Consider the following 12,234-nt stretch of genomic DNA (forward strand, 5'->3'; position numbering starts at 1 on the left):
ACTATTTTGCTGTACAGAAATTCCCATGGTATACTCTTATTTTACGCATAGGAAAACTATGTAGACATGATGACAGAACCCTCAAAAGCTGATGCTTCAGTCTATAAAACGAACATGCCATGAATGAAATAAAGTTTATATAGATGCCAAAATGAAAGCAATGTCAATAGAAATTAAACTGTGATTTGAAATATTTTGTGGGACATGAAGCCCACATTCCTAACCCTAAATTCAATTTGATTATACAGAATAGAAAAAGTCTTCCTATAGTCCCTTTTGGGTTGTTCCACTGGAATATATATACACATTAAAACTAGAAAACATAACCATTTCCATAATACTTTATATCAGAAAAAAATATTAACAGTCTAAAATCTTAAAGCTAGTATCAAGCCATATATCCTATCCTTGCCCAAGTTAACCCATGCAAAATTAGAACCTGAGTTTATTCACATATTAAGTCATAGTCCTTATCATGTGCCGGGTACTGGAAATATATTAATAAATATTGTTTCATTTCTGCTCTCATTAACTTTACAATTTAATGGATATTGATATGTAAAAAATAAGCACATAATGCTGTGAAATGTATTAAAATAGAGTAAGATAATGCACAAACTTCCAAAGTAGTAGAGAAGATGGGATAATAAACTGGAAGATAGGGCTAATCAATATTACAAAGCATGTGTATTATGGTTTGCATATGTCCCTCAAAGGTCATGTGTTAGAAAAGTAATCCCCAATACAACAGTATTAAGAAGTGGAATCTTTAAAATGTGATTAGGTCATGAGAGTTCTGCCCTCATGAATGGCTTAATGCTGTTATCTTGGAAGTGCATTAGTTGTTGCAGGAGTGGGTTCCTGATTAAAGGATGAGTTTGACTCCTTCCCTCTCTTGTGTATGTATTATTTTACCCTCCTACCTTTTCCCATGGGATGATACAGCAAGAAGGCCTTTGCCAGATGCTGGCCCTCAGCCTTGGACTTCCTGGCCTCCAGAATTGTAAGTCCTGTTCTTTATAAATTTCCCAGTCTCAGGTACTCCATTATAGTACACAAAATGAACTAAGATATGCACCTGGGCAGAAGTTACCTAGGACACTAAGGAATTAAATGGAGGGCATACCCCAGAGATGGAAGACAATGTATAAACACATGGAAGAATAAGACAGAATGGTGTGTTTAGAGAATTATAAGTAGGTCACTTTTCCAACAAAATAAGTTGTAAAAAAAATTAGAATGGATAATAATACAGATTAAAACATGAACTTGTTGAGTGAATGGCACCCCCAAAACAGTCTGTGAAATTCCAAAAATCAGACAGTAATCTATTTCATTTATTTATTTGCAAATATTCAAGGATTTTCTGTGATGAAAGGCATGGGACTTCAGTGAAGAAGGCACAATGCAGAGCAAGACAAGCAACATCCTTTTCCGCATCCTTTTCCGCATTGATTTAGTTCCCAGGAGGTAGAAACAGACAAGACAAAGAACAGGTAAACAAATAAACAAAAGTAAACAAGATAATTTCATATAGTCAATATATAATGATGAAAATAAAATGATGATGTATGAGAAAAACTAAGAACTCTTTCCATTTATGCCTAGTGTTCCATTATTGGAATGCTATGCATATGGGAGTTATTTATATCTTACTGCTCAAGGTCATCGCCAAGGTCTGATTTTTCATACATGTCTGTTATTCAAAAAATTGCAACCTCTGGCATAAATGGGTAAAATTGGATTCTGTGAGGCCTTCTGAAGTGGCAGTACTTGAACTAGGAGCTGAGCGATTTGAAAGAACCAGGCACATGAAACCTCAGGAACACATAATCCCAGGTACGGAAAACAAGAAGTGCAAAGCCATAAGGTAAGTCTGAACTTGCCATGTTCTAGAACAAAAAGAAGCAGAACAGGCAAGATAGATAGTAAATAAGTTCAGGAAGGCAGTTAGAGCATTTTAGGCTGTGGTATAGAGTTCGAGTTTTTTTCCCCCAAGTGTCACTAAAAGTCACTGAAAAGTTTTACACAAAAGATTACACCATATTGAATAGATTCAATGGGGTAATAATACCAAGAACAGGGAGACCAGTCAGGAGGTTACTTCCAGTAACCTATAAGACAGATGATAGTGGCCTGGAGTAATAGAGGTAAGTGGATGAATTTAAAACAAGTTAATAAATGATGGCACCATTTTATGGGGTTGATCAATACTACTGATTTTGGGCCAGTGATTATTTGCAAGATTTTTCTACTCAATTAGTAATAGGTAGGTACTTCCGAGAAGGCCAGTTTACTCACTGCTGTACTTTTCCCTCTCTCCAACACTGAAATATTACATAATTAATGCTTTCTGAGAGAATCATCTTTTCTATAACTTGTTTATGCCTAAGGAAGAGAAACAATAACATACACAGAGGCTTTGGTTTTTACATTTCTCTATGGCATGGCTTGATTGTGTGGCACAGGGCATTGCTCACCTCAGGGTCTAGTGGAGAGCTTGGCACACTAATTAGGGGCATTTTACACTGACTCAGCCTCTTCCTGGATATCTGCAGGCTTCTGCCTTTCGAATACCTGCCGACTTTTGTTTAGAAAGGCACAGTGATTAGCCCCCAGTGTCTTTTTCAAGCAGAGCTTTACTTAATGCTCACTCACAATCTTTGTCATACAGTGCCAGACAGATCTCTCTCCTCTTGACCCAGAGGAGATAGTAAGTTAAGACACAGCAGTACTTTGAGCCCTTCTTGTGGCCTATATCTCTACCCAGGCCTCCAAGATTCTCCCTAATTGTTCAAGATTCCTAAGCAACCAAATGCCACATCATGTCTCTACAAACCTTTCTATAGTTCCCAAGTAACTCATAATTTCTCAGTGAAATCGAAGATGTTGATTATTCTATTTGTAACATCTTTTTTTGCTATAAGATAAAATATATACACACAAAAATTATAAAATGTATAACTTAATGAGGTATTATTAGATAAACACTCACTGCAACCCAGTTCAAGAAAGAGAACTTTGCTGGCCAATCCAGACACCTCTTCATCCCAATCATGGCCAATCTCTTTCCTCAAAAGTGAACACTAATTCGATCTTTATATTATACTAATCACTTCTTTGTATTTTATCACCCAAGTGGACATCTTTATACTCTACAGTTTAATCTTCCAGTTTAAAAATATATTATAGCTTTGTTATTTAATCTGTAGGTTTCCCCTCCTATAAAACTCCTAAGATTTTATTTCCTTATATCTGTTGAACAAACTGGATCACTTGGCTTATAGATTTTTCCACAGTCTAGACTTTGCTGATTGAATGCTCATGGTACAGCTCAACGTCTTCTTCTGCCCTCTGTATTTTTTGCAACCAGCAGCTGAATCCAGAAGCCTAATCAGGCTCATGTTTAATCCCTTTGGCAACACTAGAAGTTGTGTGATGTTCTTTGTCATCTTTGTCATAAGGCACATGATGTCTGGCTGTTGCCCTTTTCGTGCCAGGAGATGTTGGTGCTCAGTCCCTGGGTCCATTAATTCACTGGAGGTTGAAAAAATGGTGACATTCTAATTCTTTATTTCTTTTTTATTTTTCTGAAAGTATGTATTATAGACTACATTTATAAAGGGACAATGTCTCTCTCTCTCATGCTTTTTGTACACTTGGTGGTACAGTTCATACAGAACAGATAGGATAAGTACATGATTCTTTCTTTCAACTTTTAGAAGAAGATGGCTTTCAGCATATAGGCTTACAGAGCTCCCTCCTCTCTAATTTTCACATAGTGTTCAAAGATACCGTGGCCTTCTTTCTGAAACTTCTCTGTTTTGTTCCCTGCAATTTACTTAGAATTATTTTACCTTATCCTCTTATTTCTAATCTGCTCAATGCCAAATCTCCTCTTGGCAGTTTCTTCTCAGTGTGGACTTCTGTTTGGAAAAGGATGCATTGGCAGCTTAGTTTTAAATTTTCATGGTAGCCAATCTAGAACAGCTCCTTCAAGCATTACTGTAGATTCTCTTTCTAGAACGGACAAAATTATTCCTAGTTTCAGCTGCTATTCTAAAAGTAGTCCACAGCATTTTTAAGCAAATAAATATTAACTGTTTTTAAGTTGTAGTCTCAGGTACTTCAGACATCTCTTGCTTCTTTCTGCTTCTGCCAGCACAGATGCTAATGTTGTTCAGCTGTGTCGCTGTTGGGAGGCTGCCCTCACACACTTGTATTTGGAACTCATGGGGATACCTGTCGCTTGGTTTTGTTGTAAGTGTTGTTCATGAGTTTTGGTTTCTCTATCCAAATTTTCTGTTAGTTTTTATTCAGATAAATTTAAAAAAATATGTTGTTGCTACAGCATCTTTCCAGAACTCCCTCAAATTAATCTAAATTTTGCTTCATATTCAGGCATCATTGCTGATGTTATGAAAATATTGGATCAGTGAATACCAAATCTGTAACCCTGATACTCCCATGTCTCAAAAGGTATCATGAAATTATTTTTAAAAATTTCTTCAAATATTAATAGTTAACCAATTATAAGTAATTATATAAGCAATGAGTAGTTATAATTGGTATACATCATAGTTATCCAATTATAAGTAATAAATGCCCATTTATGCATGATGTAGAATCACTGAATATCAAAGATAAATAAAAATTAAGTAACTTATTTATTAATTCACTTGCCAATTAATTCTTTAATAAAATGTACCAGACTGTCTATTAACTACAGATACTGTGTTACAAATTACAGTAACACGTAAAGAAGGCATGAGCCCAACTTTTTGCTATGATATAATTAAGCCATTCAGCACATCTTGCTGATGTGTACTATATGTCATGTTTTGCACTAAGTGTTGTTCTAGATTTATACTGGATGTAAACAGTCTATAGACACCTTCTTCCTATTAAGATCTGTGACCCTGGCGACATCAAGAGACTTCTATGAACTCTGTCTTCAAAGTGTGCATAGTAATACTGTTTTTCTACAGGTTGTTTATAAAAATTCAATTATATAGCAGTTCACAAAGCTTCTTGTAATTTCTTAAGTGCTTTCTACTTGAAAAATTCATGAATTTGTTCATGTAATAAATATTGAGTACCCACTGCTATGGTTTGAATGTTTGTCTTCTCCAAAAGTCATGTTAAAATTTAATTGCCATTGTAATAGTATTAAGAGGTGGGACACTTAAAGGCAATTGAGCCGTGAGGCTACACTCTCATGAAGGGAATTTGTGCAGTTATCAAAGGGAAATTTGGCCCCCTTTCTTCCTCTCTTGACCTTCCTCTTTTCACCATGGGATGAAATAGCAAGAAGGACTTCACCAGATTCAGGCCCCTTGATCGTGGACTTTCCAGCATTCAGAACTGTACAAGCCCCTTGATCTTGGACTGATATGGTTTGGCTCTAAATATCATATAGAATTATGATCTTCAGTGTTGAAGGCGGGTCTTGAAGGGAGGTGATTGGATCATGGGGGCGGATTTCCCCCTTGCTGTTCTTGTGATAGTGAGTGAGTTCTCATGAAATCTGGTTGTTTAAAAGTGTTTAGCACTTCCCCTTTAGCTCTCTCTCCTGCCATTATGTGGAAACATGCTTGCTTCCCCTTCACTCTTCTGCCATAGTTGAAAATTTCTTAAGGCCTCTGATATGGTTCGGCTGTGTCCCCACCCAAATCTCATCTTGAATTGTAGTTCCCATAATCCCCACATGTCATGGGAGAGACCTGGTGGGAGGTAATTGAATCATGGGGGCTGTTTCCCTATGTTATTCTTGTGATAGTAAGTTCTCACGAGATCTTATGGTTTCATAAGGGGCTTTCCTCTTTCCTCAGTTCTCATTCTTCTCCTTCCTGCTGCCACATGACAAAGGATGTGTTTGACTCCCCTTTCATCATGATTGCAAGTTTCCTGAGGCTTCCCAAGCCATGCTGAACTGTGAGTCAATTAAACCTCTTTTCTTTATAAATGACCTAGTTTCAGGTAGTTCTTTACAGCAATGCGAGAACAGACTAATACATGGACTTCTCAGCATCCCAAATTTTATTATAAATTGCCCAGTCTCAGATATTCTGTTACATCAGGACAAACAGACTAAGACACTACTGTGTGTCAGGCCCAATTTTAGTTTTGCAGGATAGAGCCAGTGACAAAGACAAGTTTCTACCTTCTATGAAGATACCTTCCTGTGGGAGAAGGGTGATTTTAAACAAACACATGATGAAAACGTCTCAGGTTACGGATGATAAGTACAATGAGGCATTTGAAACAGGAATATGTGGCTGAGAGAAACCAAGGTACTTTTTAGACTGAATGGTCATAGACGACCATGACAAGGACTTTTTTTCCCCTGAGACCTCAATAATAAAAAGGAACCATCCAGGCAACAATGAGGCTGTTGAGTGTTGCAGCCAGAGAAACAACTGGTTAATGAGTTCTATATGACCAAAGAGCAGAAAGCAGTTGAGTGTGGCAGGAGTTGCATGAGAGAGTGAGGAACTGGTAAGAGATGATGTTGTAGAGGAAGCTGGAAACTGGACTGTGAAGGGCTTTATACTCCGGAAGTTTGGATTTTTTTAAAGATAAAGTTATAAACTATGGAACAGCTAAGCCCTTAGGAAATTATTTTAATAGTCCAGGTAAGAAATGGTAAAAGAACATAAGAGAAAAGATATCACCTAGGTAATAGTTAGTTCAGCTAAGAAATGGGAGAAGGGAATGGAGAAATGGCTGCGTCTTAGATGAGGATGATAGGAGTGAAAATGCAGAGAAGAGGTTTTATTAGCAAAATTAATGTTCTGAAGTGAGATCCAAGAGGACTTGCCAATGCATTGCTTATGAGGAATTATGTAAAGTGAGTCATCAAGAATAACTCCAAGGTTTTGGCTTAGGAAATTGGAAAGATGGTGAAACCATTTACTGGGATGTGACAAAACAGAGTGGGTGGACATATTGTTCTGGAATGGGTAGAAATAGTATTTGGTAAAGAATCAAGATTTTTCTTTCAAATATGTTAATTTTAGATACATATTTGACATTTAAATGAATACATCAAGGAAGCCTTATATATAGGAGTCTGAGTCTGTGCTTTCTGGCAGAGGCCAAAGCTGGAAATATCAGTATTAGGTCAGTGGCATATAGATATTATTTAATGCTAGGTGAACTGTGGAGGTCACCTAAGGAAAGATAATTAAAGAAGAGACTTCTGGATTGCAATTGAGAAAGAGATTTAAAGAAAAAGAAAAGGGGAAAAAACAGAGAATAGTGCTGATAAGGAGATAGGAATAGAATCAGAGGAGTAAGTATCGTGTCTCAAAAGCTAGCAAAATGATGGATTTTTTAAAAAGTAGAATGATCAATGTATGATCTTGCTGAGAGTTTGAGTAAGAGTAAGGAAACGATCATAGGATTTGGCAATGTCAAAGTCACTAACTTTGGTGACCATCGCAAGAAAGTTCCTTGGAGTGATGGGGTCCAAGTCCTATTTGGAGTAATTGTTATGATATAATTAGAGATGCCATGACTAAAGATAAAAAATAGCAAGAGAATAATTGAATGCTAAACTCTGTAATAGTTTAGAAGCAGATCTGTACAGACCAAATTTTCAAGGCAGATGATATTTGAACAGAGTCTTGAGTGGTGGATATATTTAGAAAGCCAGAGACAGAGGGAAGCATTGCAATCAGGAAAACTAGGGACAGTGCAGAGTTTGAAATTGCTATGTGTCCTCAGACCTTTCCCAGGTGTAGGGCAGCAATTATATTTTTAAGAGGAAAGGTAAACTTCGCTTGAGGGTAATATTACTTTCTAGGCAGCCACAGAGGACAGAATACATCAACAATCTGGATCCCCCTAAACTGCATATGAGAGCCACAAGCCGATGCAGCTATTGCACACTTGAAATGTAATTTTTAATAATATTTAATTTTAATTAACTTAAATGAAAATTTAAACAGCCATAGGTGGCTAGTGGCTGCCAAATAGGACAACACAGATATATTTCTATTATTACAGAGAATTTTATCGGACATTGCTTCCCTCGAGGAAAGATTCCTCATCATTGGCTTTAACTGCTAAGGGAAACATAGAGGCTCATTGGTTTAATTAAGGATTGAGAGAAAAAGGAATCTGATGACTTCTCAGTCCTCTCTGCCTCCCCACAGAGCTGAGAAACACACTGACCACAAAGCCCTGGATGATTTCCAAAGCTGTATGAGATGAAGAAAAGAAATGCCATGGAGAAATAAGCCAGCAGTCAAAAGATGCTGCTGTCCACAACTTAAATGAGAATTACATCAAGAAACCCAACTTAAGCCAGCTAGGTGTGCCAAGGGACTGAGACAACTGCCACCAGGCTACACTAATCCCAAGTCCTGAGAAGAGTCTCAAGAGGGAAGAGAGAACAGATTCCTTTGAGCACATTAGATTGAAACATTCTAAATATATAATCAGGTGGTAAGATTGCTTCAGAAATATGCTGACAATGCATGAAAAATTAACATCCAAACTTATTTTGCATTAGTCAGGCCCATTAGTTGTGCCACAAAAGGAAAAAACAAGTTCATATGTTCCTATTAGTAAGGGAAACTGAATGCTTAAACTTCTATCTTACAAATTAAATTTTTTTCTGTTTATTCTTGTGTTGACTCTTAGAGATTCAAACTTAAATGACTGTACTCTGCAGCCTCCTATTGTTTGTTTCCTCGCTCTTCTATCTGATACCTATTCCCACGTTCATTTTCTCAAAATACAATTTTGATAATAACATTTTCTCTGTCTTCATTATCTTAGCATTTCAGATCTTCTACTCTGTTCTCTGACTCTCACCACGTTTGCTTCTATTCACAAGTATGCCTCAGCCATGGAAATGGGCCACTCCTAGTTCAAGCTTCTTGCAGAATATGTAAGTAAACTGAGGTCTAGAGAGGAGCAGGAATGTCTAAGAATGCACATTTTGTCAAAGTCTTATTCCTTAATATGATCAGTTTATTCAGGTTGTGATGTGTCTATCAAATGATTTGTATATAACTAATTTCAAACAAGTTGGAGTTAACTAACAAGAGAGTGAGATAGATGGCAATCTCATCAATTCTCTTCTTCTCTTCCTCCCATATGCTTTAATACATGTCTAAGGAGAATATTCTAAGGATAATAAGGAGAAAGCAGTCAACCACTGTTCACATTTCCTGATTGATTCAACAACCCTCATAATATTCAGTTTTGATGATATTAAGGTTGACTCATGTGCATGGACCTTAGAGGCAGACTAGATTCTTGCTACACTCAACTTTGACATGACACATGGGAGAAAGTAGATTAAGAAGTTTTATAGGAATGTATTGTCTTTGTGGAAGGCTATTGGCAGAAATCCTAAGGATATTTAAACATTAATCCTTTATTAAATTTAAGATTATCTCTATTCATTCTACAAGTATTACTGAATTGCATACTCTAAACCAGGCAGTGTATTAGGTAATAGAAAAATAAACAAAGCCAGTCAGTGTTCTTGTCTTATTGGAACGTAGAGACCAAGGTAGGAGATACTGACATTAGATACTAAATCTTATGAATGAAGGATACACACTTTTATGGCATATTCTGTTCCAAATGTTTGCCTGATGGTTCTTTGTTCCAAGCTCACTATTCTATATTATGACCTAAGAGCCATCCTCCTAGATTTCCAAGACAACTTTTTCAGCAGTGTTCTCTTAGGTTTTGCCAGTAGGAAGTAATAAAGGGAGACTGGAGGCAGAGGAGAGCAAGACACTTCTTTCCTGTGTCTTGTTATTAACACCACCCAGGGGAAGAGGTTTGGTCCAGCCTCCAACTTATTTTAGCACTTTCAGAACCAGCCTCATTGTACCCCTTCAGAGAAGCTGCCAGCAGCCATATCCTTGATGTTAAAAACAGGGATGCTTGCACTGGAGTTCTTGAAAAAAAAAAATACCAAGTTCACTAGGCTTTAAATTGTTAGTGCAAGTCTTAGTCATAAAAAGCTTCTAAAATCCTTATAAAATAATTAATAAAGTATAATTTAATTCTATACATTGCACAATTACCAAAATAAAAAACCCTTGGATTTATAGATTCATTACATTTTACAAATGAAACCTAGAAGTTCTGTGAAAAGACTGGGTTCCTGAGACTTTGAATGGGGTATCTAGAAAAACCTGAATGAAGCTGAGAATACTGAATCCCCACATCTTTTTTTTTTTTTTTTTTTTTTGAGATGGAGTCTCACCCTGTCACTCAGGCTGGAGTGCAATGGCATGATCTCAGCTCACTGCGACCTTCGCCTCCCGGGATCAAGCAATTCTCCTGCCTCAGCCTCCTGAATAGCTGGGATTACAGGTGTGCGCCACCAAGCCCAGGTAATTTTTTATATCTTTAGTAGAGACGGGGTTTCACCATGTTGGCCAGGCTGGCCTCAAACTCCTGACCTTGTGATCCGCCCAACCTCAGCCTCCACTTTGTAATCTCAAAATGCTGGGATTACAGGTGTGAGCCACCACGCCCTGCCAAATCCCCACATCTTTCTTAAGCTCTCTTACCAGCAGATGCAGCCCGTTCTTCCATAACAGAATAGACCAGTCTTCTCTTGCTTGTAATAAGGTCACCTAAGCCAATGGCTTTGTGAGGAGGGTTTTACTTTTCTCAAGATCTACACCCATCCCTCCTGACATCTAAAGGTTGAAATAGAGTCGGATCTCAGCATACTCAAGGGGGATAAGGCACAGAGGCTGGCATAGAAGAAGGCTCATACTCCTAAAGACATGCAAGATTTTTATATTTGTATTGGCAGAAAACTGAGTGATATACATGGGAATTCTAAGGATTTTAAACTAAGAGGAATATATCATTGAATTGGGTTGAATTTATTGACATCGGTGCATGAACCTGAGATTCTGGGTGTGATATGTTGGCTTGTGTGCTAATAATAATATGTAGTCTCCCAGGAGCCTTTAAAGGGACACATCCCTGCTGACACCTTGATTTTAACCCAGTGAGACCCATTTTGGATTTTTGTTTTCCAGAACTGTAAGAGAAATTTCTGTTGTTGTTAGCCACTATATTTGGATTAGTTTGTTAAAGTGGCAATAGGAGACCAGTACACTCTTTTAGCCTAGACAGCCTCTCTCCCTCTTCCTACAACACAACCAAACTCAAACTGAAGTCACCAGATCACCTGCCCTTAGAGCTTGGGCCATGCAACATCCTCCAGAATGGAGTTAGGCAGTTCTGCAAGGCTTAGCTGTGGAATGAAGTGAGACCGCCCCATCTCATTAGCACAGGAGAAACTGGAAACTAGAAAAAAAAGAAAAGAAAAAAAAAACTTTGGGAACACAGGAATACACTTTTAGATCTAGTTTTTTTTAACTGAAAAAAATTTTTTAGAATGTATAATATGTTTATATCATTCAAAAATTTCAAAAAACACAAAAGGGAAAACAGCTTTACCCTTATCCTCATCCATCTACTTTTCTCTCTTGGATCACCTACTATTATCAAAGGAACAGATAATACTTGGAGAGAGGAGCTTCATATATTGGGTCGTGGGAAGTCTCTCTGATAAGGTAGGATCTGAGCAGAGATGTGAATTAAGGGAGTGATGGTTGCATGCAGGCATCTGGGGGAAGAGTGCCACCTTTTGCAGAAGCATCATTTAGTGACCCATGAGAATGATAAAGTTAAAAACAACAAACCAAGAAAAAGTTATAATTTTCTAAGGAGTCAAAACATTGTATTGTGGAAGAAGTATATTCTCTTCATGCTCAGAAGATGAAGCATTACTCATGCAGATTACACTATGGTATACTGGAAGAAAAATAAAAATCCAAATGATTATTGTTTTTTAATGGTGAAGCATGTTTTAGGATAAAACCTTGCTGTAACACTGCTGAAGAGATTCTAAAGTGGGTTGAAACAGCCCACTGACCCTTGACCTCCCACAGATCAGAGCTCACTTCCCATACTGGCTGCAAGGTTAGAACAGATGAGAATTTGATGACATATGAATATACAGTGGTAGAGTTTGTAAGATGCAAGAAGGGATTCAACACTTAACTCTTTTGGCTACAACTGGATCACTGCTAAACTATTAATCCCATTAGTCACTGGATTAATTGTTTTACATTCTCTGAAGACTCTTACTTTAACTTACAGTAACAAACAAGCCCACCAATAAAAGTGAAAAGATCTGGGCACACTGGCTCACGCCTATAATCCCAGCACTTTAGG

General features: G+C 37.4%; 1 long non-coding RNA gene across 1 annotated transcript; it reads left to right on the forward strand.

Moving 5' to 3' along the window:
- Positions 1–1,075: 1,075 nt before the first annotated feature.
- LINC01866 (long intergenic non-protein coding RNA 1866) lies at positions 1,076–10,177 on the forward strand. The gene is made up of 5 exons (XR_001739184.2): positions 1,076–1,496; positions 4,168–4,260; positions 4,402–4,479; positions 5,832–5,934; positions 8,160–10,177. It is a non-coding gene; the product is annotated as a long intergenic non-protein coding RNA 1866 (long non-coding RNA).
- The last annotated feature ends 2,057 nt before the right edge of the window (positions 10,178–12,234 follow it).

This window comes from Homo sapiens, chromosome 2, assembly GCF_000001405.40.
Source record: "Homo sapiens chromosome 2, GRCh38.p14 Primary Assembly".
Lineage (NCBI taxonomy): Eukaryota > Metazoa > Chordata > Mammalia > Primates > Hominidae > Homo > Homo sapiens.